The sequence below is a fragment of the Homo sapiens genome, chromosome 6 (genome assembly GCF_000001405.40).
Source record: "Homo sapiens chromosome 6, GRCh38.p14 Primary Assembly".
Classification (NCBI taxonomy): Eukaryota; Metazoa; Chordata; class Mammalia; order Primates; family Hominidae; genus Homo; species Homo sapiens.
In genome coordinates this window covers 168,677,554-168,700,907 of record NC_000006.12, presented here as the reverse complement: position 1 = coordinate 168,700,907, position 23,354 = coordinate 168,677,554, and the positions used below count along the sequence as shown (strand labels likewise).

General features: G+C 45.2%; 2 long non-coding RNA genes across 2 annotated transcripts, besides 1 other annotated feature; both read right to left on the bottom strand.

The window, feature by feature from the left end:
* Positions 1 to 499: 499 nt before the first annotated feature.
* LOC105378142 (uncharacterized) lies at positions 500 to 5,961 on the bottom strand. Its single transcript, XR_943294.3, has 3 exons — positions 5,684 to 5,961; positions 3,353 to 3,468; positions 500 to 2,980 (listed from the first exon to the last, which is right to left on the bottom strand). It is a non-coding gene; the product is annotated as an uncharacterized LOC105378142 (long non-coding RNA).
* Positions 4,795 to 5,309: an enhancer, noted in NCBI's record as "OCT4-NANOG hESC enhancer chr6:169095714-169096228 (GRCh37/hg19 assembly coordinates)". NCBI's record gives its function as "activates a minimal SCP1, AML or CMV promoter by ChIP-STARR-seq in primed H9 embryonic stem cells {active_cell/tissue: H9 hESC(primed)}" and the evidence as "EXISTENCE:reporter gene assay evidence [ECO:0000049][PMID:30033119]".
* A 7,518-nt stretch (positions 5,962 to 13,479) lies between the features above and the next one.
* On the bottom strand, positions 13,480 to 22,229 carry LOC124901468 (uncharacterized). The gene is made up of 4 exons (XR_007059886.1): positions 21,627 to 22,229; positions 17,642 to 17,792; positions 15,731 to 15,820; positions 13,480 to 14,840 (listed from the first exon to the last, which is right to left on the bottom strand). It is a non-coding gene; the product is annotated as an uncharacterized LOC124901468 (long non-coding RNA).
* Between the last annotated feature and the right edge of the window lie 1,125 nt (positions 22,230 to 23,354).

The following is a 23,354-nucleotide window of genomic DNA, read 5'->3' as shown; positions in this document are numbered from 1 at the left end:
GATGCAGAGGGTGGGGGCCCCCTTTTCAATCCCCCTGCCACCAAGAGCCTGTGGTGGAATGACAGTGGTGTCTGACCTTATCCACCAGTGACTTTCCATTTTCCCTTCTTCAGCCTGTTTGAAACTTCCATCCTAATACATTTTCTGAATTAAATACATATGGAAGGCTGGGTGCGGTGGCCCATGCCAGTAATCCCAGCACTTTGGTAGACTGAGGTGGGTCACCTGAGGTTAGGAGTTCCAGACCAGCCTGACCAACATGATGAAACCCCGTCTGTACGAAAATACAAAATTAGCTGGGCATGGTGGTGGGCGCCTGTAATCCCAGCCACTCGGGAGGCTGAGGCAGGAGAATCACTTGAACCTAGAAGGTGGAGATTGCAGTGAGCCAAGACTGTGCACTCTAGCCTTGGAGAAAGAGTGAGACTCGGTCTCAAAAAACAAAACAAAACAAAACAAAACAAAAACATATGGATTAAATATCAGGAGGTGGCAACATTTTCCAGTCCCATTTTAATGAATTATTTGTTTTTACATCATCAGAGGGTAGAATTACAGTTCCCATTTAAACACTGAAAATGAATGGAATTTTCATTTCTCATTTTATAGGAATTAAAAAAAAGTGTCACAAAATTTTCAAAAACAGCCACGAAAAGGAGTAGCAAGCTCTCCTGCCCCTTCTCCTGCCCCGCTCCCCATGCTGCGCTGGACGATCAGCCAGCACTGCTGTCTCCATCCTAGGAGCTGCCAGGCCAGGAGCCAGGAGGCCGCGAGTCTGCTGCTCTCCAGGACGCCTCCTGCATGTGGTTCTCATTTGGCACGGCTGAGACGCGGCAGTGTTCTTGTCCTGGCTCCAAGTAAAAACCCTCTCCTTGAAAACTCAGGAGAACAGGGAGAGGTGGTGTCCTCAGAATCTCTGAAAGCCAAAAAGTGGCTCAAAAAGATGCATTCATCCAGGCTGGGCGCCTGGCAGGGTGCTGAAGGCGGCTCCAGCTCATGCCACCCGGAGCCACCAGCGTCTGCTAGAGAACCCTGGCATCCAGCCTCCCCAGGGTCAGAAAAATACACATGGAGTGAGAGTCAAGTGTATTTAAATTCCTGGGAAATGTCAAAGTGCTAATTAAGCCTAATATTCTCCAGGTGGCCAGCTCCTATGGCAACACTAAAGCTGTGTCTGTCTCCTGCACCAACCAACAGCCATGGAAAGCGGCAGCCATGGAGGATGCAGGAATTTCTTCCCATATTCAAAGTAAAGAGAAGACCAGTACTTAGCATGAGCTGACCATCGGGTGAATACTTTGTGCCTTGATTTTTTTGTAATGATAGAAAAGAAACAGCATTCTTTGTGAGATTTGCTTTCATGTTTTTAGTATGAGTTAGTCTGTTTAGCGAATGCATGGGATGAATGTGATTCAGCTCCTTGCACATCTTGCACCCCCAGTCCCCTCTGGTTCCTCTGCTTAGTGCTCCCAGGTAGGAAGAGGAGACTGGAAGCCCCTGGGACTCTCGAGAAATGCCACCTGGTTTCCTTGCAGCAAGCGCAGCGCAATTTGCCAAGTATTAAGCTAACTCCCCTGAAAGCCTGTTGCTCTGCAGCCCCTATAACTAGCAGCATCTGAGCCATCCCCAAGGTTTGGGCCCCTTGTCTCCTGTCTAGGCAGGGCTCCATTCATGGCACTCGTGAGGACAACTTGTTGGGCTATCAAATGTCACTCTGTTACTCCCATGCAGAAGGCAGGTTTGTGAAGCAATGATGAGTTATTCCAAGCAAATGCCAGGGCTGGACAGGGCGTTGATGCTGGAATGCAGGGTGAGAGACGTTGCCAGCTTCCATCTCACCACCAAAAGTGCGAGGGTGCATCTGCCCCATACACTGGCCCAGCCCCTTCAGGTCCTGTGCCTCCAAGCTGTGGAGGAAAGGACACACGGCCTTCATGTGCTCAGGCCTGTGGCAGTATTTTTTTGATTGAAGGGAGAACTAGATACTACACTTGAGCCTTCTATATAATGCTATTTTGCAAGGTGCAGGTCATTTGATTGTGAGGCTTGCTATGCTGTTAGTAGCACAAAATGTAAGTCAATCTAAGGGTGGTGTGACAAGATCTTTGGAAGATTTGTGTTGGTATCCAAACAGAATTTACCAGCTTATTTCATAAAAAGGAAAAGGCATTTTTAGTCATTGGGTACCCACTGAGGACCATCTGATTGCTTATCTTCATCTCAACAGTGTTAGGATGACTACATTATGATAGTGCCCATTTGAAGAATGAGATCTTGGCTTAACGAGGTTACATAACCTGTTCAAAAATCACATGAATAGCAAGTGAAAGAACTCAAATTTCAACCTGGAGAGGACACTGAAAATAAACTCATATAAATTTTTATCCAAAAATTCTAACTTGATGAATTTAACAATTAAGTCATTTTATGTCTTTAAATTACATCACTATCACTTATTGGATGAATGTTCACCTCATCAACAACATAATCTGACTCTTTCAAGACATAATAATTTTCCTCTAAAGAAACAACTTATATATTTAGTGGATCTCGTCATGAAAGAAAAAAAGAATATTTAGAAAAAAACATACACAAGGTAAAATTGGAAATAAAATCCTGCCGGATGAAGTGTTGCACGATAAACAAAGGGATAATTCCCCCACACTGCTTAGAGCTCCTCAAGTGAGATAAGAAAAAGACCGACAGTGTGACGCAGTGGCTCATGCCTGTAATCCCAGCACTTTGGGAGCCCGAGGTGGGCGGATCACCTGAGGTCGGGAGTTTGAGACCAGCCTGACCAACATGGAGAAGCCCGGTCTCTACTAAAAATACAAAATTAGCTGGAGGTGGCGCATGCCTGTAATCCCAGCTACTTGGGAGGCTGAGGCAGGAGAATCGCTTGAACCCAGGAGGCGGAGGTTGCGGTGAGCCGAGATCGTGCCATTGCACTCCAGCCTGTGCGACAAGAGCAAAACTCCATCTAAAAAAAAAAAAAAAGACGGACATCCTCTAGAATAACAAACGTCGAGCTCAACGAGCATCTCCTAGAATAATGAACAGAGAGTTCCACGGACATCAATAGGCATCCACTGGAACAATAAACGTGGAGCTCAGTGGGTGTCCCCTGGAACAGTGAACGTCAAACTTAGTGGGCGTCCCTTAGAATAATGAATATGGAGCTCAACGGGCAGTCTCAGAAAATCAAACCCACGTGGCCCCGGGTGGCCAGAATTGGGCAATATCTTCCCACCATAAAAAGGTTCAACCAATACAAACAGTGATGCATCATGTTATGAAATACCATGCAGCTGCTTTTTACAATTTTCTTATTTTGAGGTAAGTAGAGGCTCACCGGAGGATGCGCAACTCACAGGAGGATGTGCAGCTCACAGGAGGATGCCCACAGAGTGAAGAGGGATTCCATGTGCCCTTCACTCAGATTCCCTGAAGGTAACGTCCGTAATGATGCTAGGACAAAAGAAAAACCAGGAGGTTGATGTTGGTACCATACAATTAACTAGACTACAGCTTTTCTTGGATTTTTCCATTTATTTCAGGCACTCATTTTTATTTTTATTTTTGGCATGCCTTTCTGTATAGTTCTATAACTTTTAAATATATATCCTCATCTATATTTCTATGACATTTAATCACATGTACAAGCTCATATCAACTCCACCATAATCAACATATAAAACTTTTCCACCACCACAGAGAATGCAGCTATTCTTTAGATAGGTTTTGTTTTCATTCTGTTAGTTTTCTGACTTCACCATTTATTTATTTCTGTCCTTTAGTTAGTTGCATGGCTGCTTTCGTATTTGCTTACCTATAGTTTTTAATTTAACCAAAAATCGAGCTCAATTCTTCTTCAAGATCTTTTTTTTTTTTTTTTTTTTTTTTTTTGAGACGGAGTCTCGCTCTGTCGCCCAGGCTGGAGTGCAGTGGCGCGATCTCAGCTCACTGCAAGCTCCGCCTCCCGGGTTCACGCCATTCTCCTGCCTCAGCCTCCCGAGTAGCTGGGACTACAGGCTCCCGCCACCACGCCCGGCTAATTTTTTGTATTTTTAGTAGAGACGGGGTTTCACCGTGTTAGCCAGGATGGTCTCGATCTCCTGACCTCGTGATCCGCCCGCCTCGGCCTCCCAAAGTGCTGGGATTACAGGCGTGAGCCACCGCGCCCGGCCTTCTTCAAGATCTTAAGACTGCTTTTCTTTTTCCAAAGCCTACTGGCCACACTCTGGGAAGAATTTTGAACAAGTATTCGCTTGAAGGAGAATCACTGGTCTAGCTTAATGGTGGTGCCTTCCAGGTATGTGAGTACCTAATTGCAGCATTTTGAGCACTAACTAGGTACATGGGAAATTGTACTAGTTTATTTTATTTTTCTGAGTGAAGCAAGATCAACACAGTGACTTATTTGGGATAAATTAGTAAGTGGCAGAAATGGAACTGGATAGCCTTCCCCCATACTTTACTTTCCTGTACCATCCACTTCACATATGAGATTTACCATAACCATAGTACTCAAAAGAAAAACAGATGAAAACTATATCTTAAAATATAATTTGATATGGGCCCACAAAATAAAAGCATGTTATAAATAATAAGGATTTTCCAAAGAAGATGGAAATTCTTATAAAGTTCATATTAATAAATGGAGTCTCTATAATAGCTCTAAATGTCCCTGTTATCAAATTCATGTTAAATTCTATCCAAAATGTTTCTCATATAATCATTACTGATTAGTATTTTTAGTTATTTTTTACTCTTTAAACTCTATTCCCTTGCTTTTTGGACTGATCAATACACTTCTGTTTTGAAAAGGAGGGTCAAGTGGTGGAGAGGGTTTGAGGCTGGGAATAAATTATGCTGGCTGTGGCGGGAAACTATGAAAAGCCAGAGCCAGCCTGAAATAGGAATTCCTGCCAGCCCATGCCTGTGAGCAGGGAAGGGGAACATTCCACAGCACACCTGGCCTCCATGAAATATGATCTGAATGGCTGTAGCCCACCTGGGGATCCGTTGAGAGCCCTGGTTCCAGGATTACACCTGCAAAGCCCTCCTCCCCCAACAGGACAATGCAAGCCATTGAGGTTTGTCTGTCATCAACAGGTAAGTACCCACCTGACCTGCAAATCCAGGGCGTCGACCTAGGGCACATTTCAATCCAAATTCTTATGAAGTGTATTGGCCACATTTGACATAGACTAATCCCCAGAAACAGAGGACCATAGGAATTAATGCCTTTTTCTGCTAGTCTAGGCATTCAATGTAAAGATAAAAATTTATTAAATCTGTGTGGTTCTAGCAAACAGTTTTCATTAATATCTAATCCATCAATGCTTTTCATTAGTTTGTAAGTGCTCTACAAGTCTGCTGTATAACCCTGTGAATTTACATAAGGCACAAAAGTCTTAAGAGATAAATAAGCAAAATAAAGAAAAGGCCCACACAGGTATTTTCAGTGTATAAGCTGAAGGCTAATCAGTGAGTTAGTGTCTTCAGATGTCCACTGAATCACTCATTCTTTTGAAGCAAAATCTATAATACACGAAATATCTTTGTTGTAACTGAAGACAACTAAGTAACGAGAAGCAGAAAATGTCCTCTCACCACCCACATCTTGCCCCAGGTGACCTGAGAAATTGCATTTGTAGAAGGAAGGCAACATGTTACTTACATGCCCCAGGGAGGGTGGTAACACGGGATTCTCCCTTTCTCGTGTAACATTCAGCCGAGCTACCTGGACATACTCCAAACATGTCGTGATTTTAGATATTGTATAAAAATACTCCCAAAGATACAGCCTCGCTCAAAGCCAGGATCCACCTCCCGAGGACTGACAGAGAGAGGACGCCTCCGGCCCAGAGCCCACAGCAGAGGCCTCACTCACGTGCGCTCTGGGCCAGAGCAGGCCTCAGGCACTTCAGCTCCAGGGAGACCGGCCAGCAAGGTCGGGTATTTGGAAGGAGCTCAGGAAGGGTTCCCCTGCAGGAAGCCGAAAGCAGGAGAGACACCAGGGGCCGGGAGATGGAATTGGAATCTGCAGCATTCTTCAGGGGCGGAAGCCCCAAGCCGTCCATGTGAGGCTGTTGGCCAAGGGGCTGAGGGGAGGGCACGAAGTAACTCACTAGAGACGAGACACAGGTGAGTCCTCCAGGCACCCACTCACAGGAACAGCGTGAAGGTCAGCTTTCAGAAACTTCAGTAATTTTAAAAGGATCTGAAGAGGACTTTAAAAATATCTAAGATCCTTAAAGGGATCTGGTGGGAAGAGACTCCACAAAAACACACAGGACATGATGAGGTGAGGAGTGCAAATCAGGGCCTAATTGCTGATGACTCAACTGCAAAAATAAATATTTTCTCAAAGGCAATGAAATAGCATTTTCACAGGACTCAGGAAAAATGACTCAACCTAGAATTCTATACCCACATAAAATATCTTCCAGTAGAGAAAGTTAATTGCAGCATTTTCGGGTAGGGAAACTGAATTTAAAACCTGCAAGCACTGATGAAAGGTTTATTAATACACGTAGTTCAGCAGAAGAAAACAGCCTTCAGGAATAAGAGGGAAAACAGCCGAAGCTCTCAGCAAAATGGCCTTGTAAGCTCTTGGCAAAGCTGATTTCTATGTCTTATTTGTTAAGGGGGAACGTACATTTCAGGTATCCCAGGTGCAGAAGACCGAGGGGTTCCAAGGAGGGTTAAACTGTGGCAAGACCCTTTGTTGAAAGGAGAGCAGAGATAATGAATAACTCAAAACTTTGTAAGATAATATAAAATTGAATAGCATACTAAGATGTTTAGGTAATCTTTAATAGGATGTAAAACTATAAACATCCAAACATCCTTCAAAGGGAATGAGCTAAAGAGATAAAACTTTTCCGTTCCAACACAAGCCAGAAGAAGGGAAGAGGAGAAAAACAAAGCAAAGTAAGAATAGAATGCAAATTAAAATTATTCTAATTGAATCAATAGTCACAATAAATACACGGAGAGTTATCTTACCTTGTACAAGACAGAGGCTAGGAGATTGAAATTTAAAATCCAGTTTTATGCTGTTTATGGGGGACATTCTTAAAACAAAGAAACAATTTGAAACTAAGAGGAAGGGAAATGATAGTGAAACTCTGATATACCAATATTAATATCAAATAACTAAAATATCTGGTAATCACACTAACAGGTAAGAGGGTATTAAGAGTTGAGTTGTGTCCTGTTCCCCAGAAAAAGGATATGTTGAAATTCTAACCCTCAGTACTTCAAAATGTGGTAATATTTAAAATTGTATTTGATTGTTTGGAACTATATTATTATTTGGAAATAGAGTTTTCACAGATAACCAAGCTAAAACGAGGTCACATGCGTGTCTGGATCCAGCGTGACAAAAGTATTTATTTCTGCAGATGAATCATCAGCAATTAGGCCCTGATTTGCACTCCTCACCTCATCATGTCCTGTGTGTTTTTGTGGAGTCTCTTCCCACCAGATCCCTTTAAGGATCTTAGATATTTTTAAAGTCCTCTTCAGATCCTTTTAAAATTACTGAAGTTTCTGAAAGCTGACCTTCACGCTGTTCCTGTGAGTGGGTGCCTGGAGGACTCACCTGTGTCTCGTCTCTAGTGAGTTACTTCGTGCCCTCCCCTCAGCCCCTTGGCCAACAGCCTCACATGGACGGCTTGGGGCTTCCGCCCCTGAAGAATGCTGCAGATTCCAATTCCATCTCCCGGCCCCTGGTGTCTCTCCTGCTTTCGGCTTCCTGCAGGGGAACCCTTCCTGAGCTCCTTCCAAATACCCGACCTTGCTGGCCGGTCTCCCTGGAGCTGAAGTGCCTGAGGCCTGCTCTGGCCCAGAGCGCACGTGAGTGAGGCCTCTGCTGTGGGCTCTGGGCCGGAGGCGTCCTCTCTCTGTCAGTCCTCGGGAGGTGGATCCTGGCTTTGAGCGAGGCTGTATCTTTGAGAATATTTTTATACAAAATCTAAAATCACGACATGTTTGGAGTATGTCCAGTAGGTCGGCTCAATGTTACACTAGAAAGGGAGAATCCGTGGGTGCAGACAGGTGCTGCGGGAGGAGGATGTGGAGGCAGCGGGTCGCCGGGACCACCAGGAGCTAGAGAGAGGCCGGAGCAGACCCCGCCCCGGGCCTGTGGAGGGAGCCAGGCCCTGCCCCGCAGCACCTGCGTTTTGGCTCTGGCCTCCGGAACTGTGAGAGAAGAGATTTCTGTGAAGACACCGGCTCTGGGGTGCTTTGCTCTGGCAGCAGTAGGAAGCCAGCGCAGAGATCAGTATGATGCGTCTATTTAACAGCGTCCCCGCAGAATGTGCAGAGGAAACTCCAGAATGCAAAAGTCGGGAGGTGACAGAGGGAGAAGGTTTACCTATAACTTCTTGCGCAAAAACATAAATTGCAAATTAACAACAACAAGAGGTATGGTTGAACGGCACGATTCTGAGCTTGATTGATGTGTGTGTCAGAAGGCAGGCCTCTGCGTGAGTAGACACTGAACACGGTTTCCACGCGGTGTATTAAACGGCCCTTGCAAATGCCTCACAGTAACAGTGACTTGGGCAAGAGAAACCCATGGAGGCAAAACCTAGTGGATGAAAGTTTCACGAGAAACGAGGTATTTAAATCATCTCAAGCCACTTGCCGCCGTTTCGCACCTGTAGGCCCTTTTCCGAGTGATAGCACTGCCCAGTCGCATTCGCGTGCCATGGGCACCATGTGGTTCTGTGGGGTGTGCCAAGGGCCCTGCACCAGTCTCAGTCCCCTGCACCTAAACACCAGGACATCAGCAGAGCCCGGGTGAGAGGAAGCTGACCCCGGAACTGGCCTGCAAGCCTCTGAGATGCCAGCAACTGCAGAGTTCACATCTGTTTGCCTGGGGTTGTCAGAGAACAAAGCCCCAGCAGAGGTCATTTCAAGGTCATGGGAGGAAAGGGAAGACCAAGCCACCATTCCAGGCAGAAGGAAACTGGCCGTGACAAGACATGGAATGCATGGTCCTGAGTCAGGGGCTGTGCAGAAAGAAGGGGATGGACCGACGGCTGCTGCAGGTCTGGTTGGCTGGTGGGTTTCGGGTTTCCCTATAAGTGCTATGGAAACCACCTACGGTATGCCAGCAGGGCCTGTGACTCGATGGTAGTATCGCGTCCACGTTGATCGCTTTGGGGTACTGGGATTACGTGGCTGTAAGTCCAGGTTTTAGAAATGAGAGCCACATCTGCCACCCTTGGCTGTTATTCACAAGTCATGAATCGAGGCAGCCGCCATTCTTTTTGTTTTTTTTTTTTTTTTAATTTTACTTTAAGCTCTGGGGTCCATGTGCAGAACGTGCAGGTTTGCTACATTAAGTATACATGTGCCACGGTGGTTTGCTGCACCTGTCAACCCAACATGCTGGTTTTAACCCCGCATGAATTAGATATTTGTCCTAATGCTCTCCCTTCCCTTTCGCCCCACCCACCGACAGGCCCCGGTGTGTGATGTTCCCCTCCCTGCGTCCATGTGTTCTCCTTGTTCAACTCCCACTTATGAGTGAGAACATGCAGTGTTTGGTTTTCTGCTCCGAGGAAGCCTCTATTCTACAAGATAGAATGAGAGTTCCACTGGGCGCTGGCAGAACAGTGGGTTTTGTAAGGTGGGGACCAGGAAACAGAATAGGAAACAAAACTGACGGGTAACCTCAGGTTACTTCAGGTTCCCCTTTCCCTTACAGGGAAAAGCAGAAGGGGCTTCCTTTCTGCGCTGACTCAGGTCTGGAATCTCCTGTGGTCAGGAAAATCTGGACTGTTTTGTGATCTAGATGCTTCCTTAATGTTTCAGCTTGACTTAGCGTGAGTGACTCCATTTTGGTTTGATCTGGTCTGTTGGGACCAAGTGTAGGGGCTCATTCAAAAACAATGGCCTCCCACAATTTTTGTTTAACAAGGTTCAAAAAGAATAATGAAGTGTGTGTGTGCCGTGAGCGCCTGTGCTGTGCGAGCACACGTATGCACATCAGAGAAAGCCAGTGGATGAGACAAATGTGGTGAAAAGTTAACAGCTGAAGATGGGCATATAGGAGTTCTATGCACTGTCCTCTCACCTTTTCTGTAAATTAGACATTATTTCAAATAAAAAAGTCAAATAATTAAATGCAACAAAGTAATAAGACAATATAATATAAACATTAAAATTGATGTGAAAAGAATATTGAAATTGGCCAAAAAGAAAGTCTTGACAAATTCCAAAGATAATATATCATACAAACCATATTTGTCAGCTACAGTGAAATTATACTGGCAATTAACTTTAACCAAACAACATCAAATGTTCAGGAAGTAAGAAAACACATCTCTGAGTTAATCATTGGTTAAAGAAGAAATTACAGAGTGAATTACAAAACATTTATAACTGAGTGATAATGAAAACTCTAGCTATCAAAATTTGTGGGCTGGGCGTGGTGACTCATGCCTGTGATTCTAACTGTTTGGGAGGCCGAGACAGGTGGATCGCATGAGCTCAGGAGTTTGAGACAAGCCTGAGTAACAGAGTGAGACCCCGTATCTACGAGAGATACAAACATTAGCCACGTGTGGTGGTAGACACCTGTCGTCCCAGCTACTCAGGAGGCTGAGGTGGGAGAATCATCTGAGCCCAGGGTGTTGAGGCTGCAGTGAGTCGTGATCAAGCCACTGCACTCCAGCCTTGGTTACAGAGTGAGCTAGACCCTGTCTCAACAAACAAACAAACAAACAAAAAATTTGTAAAGTGCAAATAGGAGGTAATCACAGGAAAATGAGCACCATTTGATGTATCTATTGGAAAAGAAGGCAGATGGGAAACAAATTAATGTTCATCTCAATATGTCGAAGCCAGGCGCGGTGGCTCACGTCTGTAATCCCAGCACTTTGGGAGGCTAAGGCGGGTGGTTCACCTGAGGTCAGGAGTTCAAGAACAGACTGGCCAACATGGTAAAACCCGGTCTCTACTAAAAATACAAAAAAAGTAACCGGGCGTGGTGGCAGGCACCTGGAATCTCAGCTACTCAGGAGACTGAGGCAGGAGACTTGCTTGAACCCAGAAGGCAGAGGTTGCAATGAGCCTAGATCGCTTCACTGCACTCCAGCCTGGGCAACAAGAGCAAAACTCTGCCTCAGAAAAGAAAAGAAAAGAAAAGAAAAAAAAATTGGAAAAAATAGATGCTTTTCCTCAATCATCTGATTAGCTTCTGACAGCAATGCTGAACAGAAACAAGACTGTGGCAGGGAGGCTTCGGCGCGTACATCTCATCTGACAGGGATGCAAATATTCCATTTCTCTCCTTGCCTTGGTTTCTCAGCTCAGCCCACATGTGTTTTTCCTGTGGGACAGGTCCCTTCTGCACACATTTTGTTCACCAACAGCAGCTTAAGCTTTATCTTTTTTCTTCTGAATTCTTGTTCTACTTGTACTGATTTTCTAATTTATTTGTTTTTATCCTAGGATATTTTGTAAGCTATGAAACAGTTTTATATGAGACTGCCATTGACTGAGGAAAAAAATGTGACTTTGACAGAAAAGTACTCCATAAATATTTGTTAAATGCAAATGAGCCACACTAATTAAGTCAGGAAATGATAAAAGAACTTGCCACATTATTATTTTTCATTCTTTAGTTATCAGCACCTTTAATTGCTACCTCTGAGAATCTTCATGTAACTTCTCTAAGAGAAAATATGGAAAGACTTATAAAGCTAGTGTGTGTTTTCACAAATCAAATTTTCAGGACTCACTTTGGCCCAAGTTAAGCAATGCTAAGTCATGAATGATTTCTAAGAACCCTCTGAACACTGCCTTATTTGCGTGGCCTAAATGGGGCTGAATAAACGTTGCAACCAGCTTTCCCTCAAATGTCCCCATGATGTTTTGAGCATTGTGAATGCACCAAGTCCTCACACACGTTTCATTAGGCAGCATCTCTCTGCCCCTTAATCTTTAAATGCAAGTGGGTTTCCAAGGAAATTATGATTCATATGTTTCTAATTCCTTTATTCTTACTGAAATGTATCTAAATATTGCTTTGTAATAGTTATCTGATGCCCAAAAGCTTTTGAAATTTTAACTATTTTCCCAAAGTCAGGGTCTTATGTTTGGAAAAACAATGAGCTCTAAACCCTACATATTTCAACTCTGAACTCATGAGGTTTCAGATGACTTTTCTACATGAGCAAATGCCATTCTCTACAAATATCTGAGGATTAAATCAATAAATTCCCTTTTTTTTCCCCATGGCAGTAGGTAAGGAAGAAGAGATTCAGAGGAAGAAGAGGGCCTCTTAGTTTTGTTTTAAGACATTGCAATAGTTTGGGTGAAAAGAAAATAGAGAGTAGTTTGAGCCACTCTGTGTGATCTCGTTGGGCCTAGAATGGTGATGGGCCATCCAGGAGGGTGCAGACCCAGGAACCAGCCCGGAACCGTGTTCTCCTGTATCTGTAGGGAATGATGGTGCTTCCAGATGCTCTTTAGTTGTGTCTGAAGGAAAGACGCTGTTTTCCTGGAAACAAGAGCTTGGGTTACATAAGGGGAGGCCAGTGAAATGTTATAAAGGTTCAGGAGGAGCTTTGCTCACTCTCCTTCCCAGTCAGACACTTTACTATTTTCTTCCCAAATGCGAGAAAGGGGAGCAGATCCTTAGGCACTGGGAGTGCTTGAAAGCCTTCCTTCTCAGTTGCCCTTTACCTAGAATTCCTTAGAGATGACTGCATTTAGAAGTAGAAAACCAAGGTAAGCAACAATGTATACAAAGGTGCTGTTTCTCTTCTTATCTTTTCTGCAAATTGATTTTAACTTCAAATAAAGAATGTAGTGAGTGTATTTCTCTAATCTCCATGGGGGGGGTGGGGGGTCCCTGTGAGCCCCTGCCATTTCTCTCTGGTGGAAACTCTGAGTGGCCTGTGCTTTTATGAAAAGGTGAAATAGCTCAGAAGCTGCGAAGGTATCTACAAGGTTGGTAGCATCTACACTGGAACCCAGCACCCCAGGCTGCACTGTCTTTTAAGTTGGACACTAAGAGGCAGAGGAAGTCAAGAAAGAAAATGTGAGTTTGAGTCCTAGAGACCCCATTTATGAATTCTGTGACTTTGGACAAATAAGTCCAGCATACAAGCCCCGAGTGTTCTCATTGAAGAATGCAAATAAAAGTCCTTACCTGGCCTGAGTCTGGATTGAATTTGATAAAAGTATTTGAAAAAGGAAGGAGTACACCCATGTATTCTGCAGATGCAAAGTTAGTAGTTATTTTTGTCATCTGCACACACAGCTCTCCCCATCCCCCGGCCACCTGCCTGGTGGCACATTCCCCCAGGATTAGAGATGGCAGAGGAGTTCATCTCAGGGCGGCCAAGGGTCACAAAGGTGTCCTGGAAGCTGCTGCACAGCCCTGAGTCAGAGCCATCCATGGAAGCTGGTAGGAAGTCAGGTGGAATCACACAATCACTCATTCATTCAGTCAAGACATTTTTTTTTTTAATTTACCTGTTCAGAGGCACTGTGTTAAGTACTGAACCAATGGAGTTGAAATGATGAAGCAAGCCGGGAAAAACTGACTTAGGACCAGAAGAGCAAGCGGCAGAGGCCAGAGGTGAAAAGTAACAGAAGGGCCTTTGCTTGTGCAGGTGCCAGGGGCCAGGAGTGAGGCACCGACTGGGGAGGAGAGCACAGCAGGAGAGGAGCAAGGCCTCTGGGGAGGGGAGCACAGCAGGGGAGGAGGGAGGCTCCTAGAGAGGGGACCACAGAACAGGAGCTGTGGTCCGTGTATATGCACATATATATACCTATGTATATGTATATGGGGGGCTGTTTCCCCCACCAAGGTTCCCAGCAAGCCCCTGTTACTGCTTAAAGACACAATTCTCTAGAGCATGACTGACGGGGTCTGTTTCCGCCGCCGAGGTTCCCAGCAAGCCCCTGTGAGCATTCAGAAGCGAGGCTGCAATTCAGTGTCTTTACGTCTTTTTCATTTTCTTAAGCTCCTGTTTTCAGCTGGAAGGACATCCACAGGGCATGATTCCTAACGTATTGGTATCACACCATGCTGGAGGAGCGTGGAATCGTGCAAAATGTGAGAAGTGCTTGTGCTTTAAAAGACATTGCTTTGTAACAGCCTTGAACAGGGATGTGGAGGGAAAAAAGCTCAAGGAGAGGGAAGCAGAGGGGCTTCCCCTGGAGAGAGCGCTTTCTCCCTGCTCTGTGCCTGCATCCTCTTTGCCAATGTGGCAATGTGGGGACTCCTCGGCGTGGACGGTGAGCTTGCCAGAGACAGATAAGGCAGTGGAGCAGAAGGGCTGGTTGCATCGCCAAGCTGTGAATACACCCAGCGCCAGTGAGAGCCACCGACTCCCCGTCTCAAGGTGAGGAGTGTCACCGGGCCATCCCACTGGAAGTGCCACTCTGGATGACAAAAGAGACATTTACAGTCTGAGACGTGCAGGCGGCTGGAGTTTGGACAGGGCCACAAAACTCAGTGAGGGCGTCCTCCCCAGTGTTCCATGCTGGCAGCCTCCCGAGAGAAAGAACCTCTTCTTATTAGTCCAAAATGAGGGCAAAGTGCAACATATCCAGAAACGGTCATCCTCTTCAGACCCTGGACTGGGGTCTCCATAAGGGGCCAAGGCATGAGCTGTGCAGCCGGGATGTGCCTCGTGCCATTTCGGAGTCTCGGGGTCCTCACCCGCACAACGCGGCATTTCATCTACCTGCACAATGTCATGGTTTTTTCCCGGCTCCAGAACCTCGGGGTCTGTCACTGATCCTGGAGAGGCAGCACTGGAGTCGGTGTCTTTAGCCACGAGAAGCTGAGTGTGTTAAATCTAGAAATTAAGGTAGTTTTTGGCAAAGCCAACCTCTGTTTCCTTAGGGGCTCGTACAGAGGCTGTGTTCAATGTCTGAGGAATTCAGAAGCGAGTGTGGTGGTTAGTTTTGTGTCCTCTTGATTGGGCTGTGGTACCCAGCAACTCCAATCTCTACGTTGCTGTGAAGGTATTTTTTAAATGAGATGGGCACTTATCAGACGACTTTGAGTAAAACAGACCTCCCTCCACTAAGTGGGTGCGCCTCATCCAGTCAGGTAGAGGCATGGAGAGAGAAGACTGAGGGCCCCTGGGGAAGAAGGGATCCTACCTCCAGACAGCCTTTGGATTCCAGTGACTCCAAGACTTCCTGGGGCTCCAGCCCCCAAGTCTGCTCTGCAGAGTGTGGACCCACCAGCCTCAGCCACGTGAGCCGATTCCTTAAAGCAAATCTCTATCTCCCCGTCTCTCCATGGATGTGTGTATAATAACATATATGTGTGTATGACTGTGTGTATATAATGTATATATATGTGCATAATCTATATATGTATGTGTGTATATAATGTGCATATGTCTATGTGTGCGTATATAATGCATTATGTGTATGTATGTGTGTTTATACATATCTTATTACCTGTTTCTCCAGAGAATACTAATACAATGAGTAAAAAATAGATGAAAATCTCATCTAAAGGAATGACTTCTGTGACTCTCGGCCCGGTGTAAGCTGCTGAGACTGAACAAGACGTGGGTCCCGGGGCTGCCCGTTACCTGGAGCGTTTGAACATGGACTCCTGGGCTCCATCCCCCGGCTCAGTGCAGATACTGGGCTTCTTATGTAACAAGCCCCTTCTCTCCCCCTCCTTCCAGGTGGCATGCACACACACACACGAACATCTCATACTCACATTCCTTGTTCAATTGCTTCCATGAGAAAAAGCTTGCAGCTATCTTGTTCATCTTTAACGCCCAGGACTGGGTGCCCAGCTCAGTGCCTGCTACACAGAAGATGCTTAATGTCAATTTGCTGATTGAATAAAGGCATACGATGTGGATCCCCACGGCTTTCAGCGGCATTTCCTCAAGCAGACCCTGAAACCAGGACATGGGTGCAGATTTCTTTGAGGAGTGACTCCACTAGCCCCCGCCCGTGACTGTGCTGACAAAGTGAAAGCAGGAAGGCAGAGTGCAGGGAGATGAGGTTGCTCTGAGTACCAGATGAGGGATTTTTCAATAGTGCCCCTAACCACCCTGATTTGTATGGAGGGCCTGGGCACCCACCTGTCCTCCCTGGCTTCACCTGGGAACTGGAACTCCCGCCTCCTGCATGTGGGCTGTGCCATCTGTGGTTCAGGAGGCCACGTTGGGGCAGAGAAGCGGAGAGGTCCTGTACTCCGTACAGGCAGCTGGGAGTGCTCCTGGGAACCCAGTACCATGAGGACAACCTCCCTGTCAGCTGAGGGGACCCAGGGCTGTGGGGCAGGAGCCACCAGCAGGTGCGGCACCAGCCCACGAGGGCCCCATTGCCTAGGATTTTGTCCATGGAAATTATCTTATTTGAAATGTGCAATAACACGACACAAAAATATAGATTGACCCCACGCAGCAGAACATGTATGGGATCAAAAATGTAGGGAAGACACAGATTTTGTCTCACATCTGACATTTGGAAATGTCAAGTGAAGGGAAGAGAGGATGGGCGAGGGGAGCCATGGCTTCTGCGCCCTTGAAGGACTGTGGGTTCCAGAACGTCACTCTCCTCCTCCACGAACCTCAGAGCCTCGGGGGACAGAATATGGACCCCGGCCTCAGCAGCCACTGCCACTGGGTCAATCCAGCCTACCTGAAGAGGTGCCCCTCACAGCTCATTGATAACAGGCACTGATCTCTATGCATGAAGACCTTTAAATGCCCTTCAATCACTCCCATCTATCCCTTTCACTCTGAACACACTTTTTCTGATGAGTACATAATTGAATTCTAAATAACTATACATGACACTTAACCGCATTGATTCTGACCCTGGCTTACAGGGTATGAGAGATCCAAGACATTCTTTAAAGACAAATGCCAGAACGACAAGAGAATGGATTAAATTACCTAATTGACCCTTCCCATCCTTAATCCCTTTCATCTACTTGGAAGAAAGCTAATTGTAACATTCACTCTTGCCATCTGCTAGGAATTCCACATCCCCAGGCCTGTGGCATCTGCAGCAGCTGAAGGCCGCAGGGAGCTGAGCGCTGCGTGGAGCGTGCTCCACCCACAGCACTGCAGCCTGCCTCTGTGGCCGCCCCACATCACTGTGCTGGCAGCTGCCTCCCACGCCAGTGCTGCCATAAAATGCTTAGGCACAGGGGAAGCCACAGCGACCATTTCATCCCTGGGTCTTTAGCAGGACGTGACGATTTTGGAAGAGCAGCTAAACACGAAAATAGACCTCAGAAAAAGACACATTCACATTCACATTCACTTGATAATTCAAGCCGTGCTTCAGGTTTTGCATGCAAGATTGACGCTAACCAACAGCAAAGTTACGTGGAAAACAATCACAGCTGTCAGTGAGCATTCATTCCGCATTTGCTTGTTTTGAAGAATTCCAGGGTAGGGAAATGTGGAAGTCATTGTCTTTTAACCATTTTCTTTTGTGATCCCATAATGCTGGTTAGCCTTTGATATAACCCACAGGAATATGTGCTTTTGGTCTGACATCCCCCTGCCTTCAGCTTGCATTCATTGACTGTTTTGAGTTAGACGTGACTGAGCCTCAGTGGGGTTACGTGCAGGGGAGGTTCTTGGTACAGTAAGAATGAACGAACCTGAGTCTGGCACTGTCTCTGGAGGGGAGGAGGAAAATGCCCTGCTGTAAACCATGATGAGATGACCCGGGACATTCCTCCCAGAGTGAGCAGGGACAGGAGGAGTCATTCCACTCAGTTCAGCAACAGTGGCCACCGTCTTCACCAGATGCTGAGGGAAGGAAAAGCTCTGATTCTGGTGGTGCTGAAAGCTTCACAGAAGAAGATGGGGCTTGGGATGTGCTTTAAGGCAAAGGGCAGAAGTGGCACAGCAGGGGGTGCCCTGGTGGGAGCATCGCCAGCAAGCCCAGGTACAGGGGAGGAAGGATGAGGCTCATCCCTTGGTCGATGAAAAGAACTGAACTCTATAAAACATTGGAAGAGATTTATTCTGAGACAAATATGAGTGACCATGGCCCGAGACACACCCCTCAGGAGGTCCTGAGAACATGTGCCAAGGTAGTTGGGCACAGCTTGGTTTTATGCAATTTAGAGAGGCCTGAGACATCAATCAAATACATTTGAGAAATACATTGGTTTGGTCCAGAAAGGCAGGACAATTCAAAGCGGGGGCTTCCAGACTACAGATGAACGTAAACATGTTCTGGTTGACAATTAGTTGAGTTTGTCTAAAGACCTGGGATTGATAGAAAGGGAATGTTCAGGTTAAGACAAAAATTGTGGAGACCAAAGTTCTTTTGAGTCTTATAGTGGCTGCCCTTAAAGACAATAGATTACAAGTGTTTCCTATTCAGATCTTAGTTAATCTCTTTAGGATTGGGAGGGTCTGGAAGAAGAAGATCCAGGTATGTTAATAGAGATTCGCTACAGATGCAAATTTCCCCCACAAAGAACAGCTTTGCAGGGCCATTTCAAAATATGGCAAAAAATCATGTTTTGGCATAAAATATTTTGATTTTCTTCCTTGTCTCATAATGTTATGCCAGAGTCAGGTTGGAAAATAAGTCATAATATATAGGGTTAAATAAAACCCATCCATTGAGGATTTATTATTTCTAGGGCATGACTCCCCAGACCCCTTAGATGGGAATTTGGGCAAGAAAAAATCAGAGCTTAGTCCTCACCTTCCACCACATCTTCCCCTCTCTTTGGCCCCTTCCCCTTCCTCTTTTCATCTCCATTCTAGCCCCTTCCTCCCTCCTTTTGTTTCTTGATTTCTTTCTTCTTTGGGGAATTATGGATCCTATGAGCACTCTGGGGGTTGGCAGACACTCTGTTCCAGAATCCGTCCTCCCTCCAGTGATTGTCAACCCCCCTTTCCTGTAGGTTCAATAAGCCACAGTGGACTTTGAGGAAGCACCACAAAAGCTGTGTTTCCCCAGAGGCCTTGCGACTCAGGTGGCCTTGCAAACTGAGCCCACCTGCAGCAGCTCAGCCATGGCCGAGGAAGCTAAGCCCTGCTGGGCTGCACCACTGGGGTGTCCGGAGAGGCAGGGCTCTTTCTTAATAGGCTTACTGCTCCCCGATTCCAGCCAGCAGGGATCCTAGCACAGCATGGTTTTTTTTTTTTCTTGATCAGACAGACTAGATTTGAATTGTCCATGAAAACAAGTCAAACTCCGTTTAATATTTAAAGAAGTTTATTCCGAGCCAAATATGAGTGGCCCTGGCTTGAGACAGTCTCAAGAGGTCCTGAGAACATGTGTCCAAAGTGGTTGGGTTAGAGGTTGGCAGCTTGGTTTTATACATTTTGGTTGGGTTATAGGTTGGCCGCTTGGTTTTACACATTCTGGTTGGGTTACAGGTTTGCAGCTTGGTTTTATACATTCTGGTTGGGTTATAGGTTGGCAGCTTGGTTTTATACATTCTGGTTGGGTTATAGGTTGGCAGCTTGGTTTTATACATTTTAGGGAGACACAAGACATCAATCAATACATGTGATGTCTGTATTGGTTCCATACCAAAGGCAGGACAACTCGAAGCAAGGGTGGGAGGCTACTAGGTCATAGGTAGATTCAAAGATTACAAAAATTTTCTGATTGGCAATTGGTTGAAAGACTTGAGTTATTACCTAACACTCCAGAATCCATAGGGAGGAGTGTCTGTGTTCAGAGAAGGGGTTGTGGAGACCAAGGTTCTTATTATGTAGAAGAAGTCTCATAGGTCATGTCCTTAGAGACAATAGAGGACAAATGTTTCTGGCCAGGCATGGTGGTTCATGCCTGTAATCCCAGCATTTTGGGAGGCCGAGGTGAGTGAATCACTTGAGATCAGGAGTTTGAGACCAGCCTGGCCAACACGGTGAAACCCCATCTCTACCAAAAATACAGAAATTAGCCAGGCATAATGGCACATACCTGTAATCCTAGCTACTTGGGAGACTGAGGCACAAGAATTGCTTGAATCCTGGAGGCAGAGGTTGCAGCAAGCCAAGATCATACCACTGCACTCCAGCCTGGGCAACACAGTGAGTGACGCTCTGGCTTAAAAAAACAAAAAACAAAAAACAATAGTTTCCTATTTAGACCTTTAAAAGATGATACACTCTTAGTTAATCTCTTTTTTTTTAATTTATTTTTTCTTTCAATAGGTTTCTAACTTATTTTTTATTCCAATAGCTTTTTTTTTTTTTATTTCAATAGGTTACAAGAATAAGTTCTTTAGTGGCGAGTTCTGAGATTTTGGTGCACCCATCACCCTAGCAGTGTACACTCTACCCAATGTGTAGTCTTTTATCCCTTACCCCATTCCCACCCTTCCTTCCAAGTCCCCAAAGTCCAATGTATCATTCTTATGCTTTTGTGTTCTCATAGCTTAGCTCCCACTTATGAGTGAGAATATATGATGTTTGGTTTTCCATCCCCGAGTTACTTCACTTAGAATAAAAGTCTCCAATTCCATACAGGTTCCTATGAATGCCATTATTTTATTCCTTTTCATGGCTGAGTAGTATTCCATGGTGTGTGTGTGTGTGTGTGTGTGTGTGTATATATATATGCCACATTTTCTTTATGCACACATTGATTGATGGGCATTTAGGCCAGTTCCATATTTTTGCAATTGCGAATTGTGCTGCTGAAAGCATGAATCTGCAAGTATCTTTTTCGTATAATGACTTCTTTTCCTCTGGGTAGATGCCCAGTAGCGGGACTGCTGGATCAAACGGTAGATCTACTTTTAGTTCTTTAAGGAATCTCCACACTGTTTTCCATAGTGGTTGTACTAGTTTACATTTCCACCAACAGTGTAAAAGTGTTCCCTTCTCACCACATCCATGCCAATATTTATTATCTTTTGATTTTTTTATTATGGCCATTATTACAGAAGTAGGGGGTTATCTCATTGTGGTTTTGATTTGAATTTCCCTGATAATTAGTGATGTTAAGCATTTTTCCCTATGCTTGTTAGCCATTTGCATATCTTCTTTTAAGAATTGTCTATTCATGTCCTTAGCCCAATTTTTGATGGGATTGTTTGTTTGTTTTTTTGTTTTGCTTGGTTTTTCTGATTTGTTTGAGTTCTTTGCAGATTTTGGATATTAGTCCTTTGTTGCATGTATAGATTTGAAGATTTTCTCCCACTTCCCATCAAAGCCTGAACTAGTTTGTCAGGTTTCTTTGGGATCCTATTGGCCAAGAAGTGGTTCATTCAGTCGGTGGGGGGGCCTAGCATTTTATTTTTCGTTTACATAATTCAAGTTCTGCCTTTTACCTGCCCAAAAACTGGACGAGTCTTACAGGTTAGTTCAAGATCTGCACCTTATCGACCAAATTGTTTTGCCTATCCACCCTGTGGTGCCCAACCCGTACACTCTTTTGTCCTCAATACCTTCCTCCACAACTCACTATTCTGTTCTTGATCTTAAAGACACCCTTTTCACTATTCCCCTGCACCCCTCATCCCAGCCTCTCTTTGCTTTTACCTGGACTGACCCTGACACCCATCAGTCCCAGCAGCTTACCTGGGCTGTACTGCCTCAAGGCTTCAGGTACAGCCCTCGTTATTATCTCATGATTTACTTTCTTTCCGCCCCTCTGCTTCTTACCTTATTCAATATATTGATGACCTTCTACTTTGTAGCCGCTCCTTTGAATCTTCTTAGCAAGATACTCTCCTGCTCCTCCAACATTTATTCTCCAAGGGATATTGGATATCCCCTCCAAAGCTCAAATTTCTTCTCCATCTGTTACCTACCTCGGCATAATTCTTCATAAAAACACGCGTGCTCTCCCTGCCAATCGTGTCTGGCTGATCTCTCAAACCCCAACCCCTTCTACAAAACAACAACTCCTTTCCTTCCTGGGCATGGTTAGATACTTTCGCCTTTGGATACCTGGTTTTGCCATCCTAACAAAACCATTATATAAACTCACAAAGGGAAACCTAGCTGACCCCATAGATCCTAAATCCTTTCCCCACTCCTCTTTCTGTTCCTTGAAAACAGGTCTAGAAACTGTTCCCACACAGTTCTCCCTGATTCATCCCAACCCTTTCTATTACACAGAGTCGAAGTGCAGGGCTGTGTGGTTGGAATTCTTACACAAGGACCAGGACCACACCCTGTAGCCTTTTTGTCCAAACAACTTGACCTCACTGTTTTAGTCTGGCCCGCATGTCTGCGTGCGGTGGCTGCTGCCGCCCTAATAGTTTTAGAGGCTCACCTTAAGGCTGCTTTCCTGCCAGCCAAGCCTGGGGTTATTCATTGCAAAGGACCCCAGAAACCAACTGATCTTATTGCTAAAGGAAACGCTTATGCCAACAGGACAGCAAAAAAATAAATAAAGAAAATAAAAATAATAATAATAACGATAGCAAATGCCTCCACACCCACAAATATTCCAGCCCTCACTCCAAAAGGCCAGTATTTTTCTTTCTTCTCTATCCCCCCACCTCCTCCTCTTCTGAAAACCTGCTCTACCAGTCTTTTCCAACTTAGGGCAAGTGGTTCTTAGATCATGGAAAATTCATTCTTCCTGCCTCACAAGCCCAGTCTATTCTTTCTTCCCTTCATGACCATTTCCATGTAGGATATAAGCCTCTGGCTCGCCTCCAACAGCCCCTCATTTCCTTCCCCATATTTGGCAACCAGACCAGCATCCAGGACAACATAAAGTATGCTGTTGGTTGTTAGAGGGCTTAGGACATTTCTGTCTTTGCCAGCCTGAGCTTAAACCAGGAGACAAAGATTATTTTACTTATGATCTCTCTTGCATAGGATATGCAATCAGGACTATTGAACTCCTCCATTCAAAACGCCACTCACGCCTTTGGGAAAAAGGTAATATAATGACTCTTGGCTTGACGCCAGGGGGTCCTATTCGTATGATGGAAAATAGGGACACAAGGCCTTGGTATGCAAAGCATTATTCCTACCTTGGCCTAAAAACTCACTGTCACCTACCTTAAAGCTATTACGCTTCATTGCTATTTTTAGAGAATTTATTCTATTAGGACAATTCCAAGCTCAAAAATATGCTAACTGGCACCTTCTTAGCCACATAAAAATGCACCCTAGACCTGAAACTTACTGGACTAACTCATTATAAAATTTTCTTTAAGGTGTCTACACAGTCCCTGGTCATGCCTGAAGTAGTCCTGAGAAACATCGCCCCTACCCCGATAATCCCCAGTAAAAACTTATATTTTCTTTATCTTTTCTTATAACTTTATATTTTATAAGTAAAAAGACAGGAATATTAGGCCTCTGAGCCGAAGCTCCGCCATTGTAACCCCTGTGACCTGCACATATACATCCAGATGGCCTGCAGGAGCC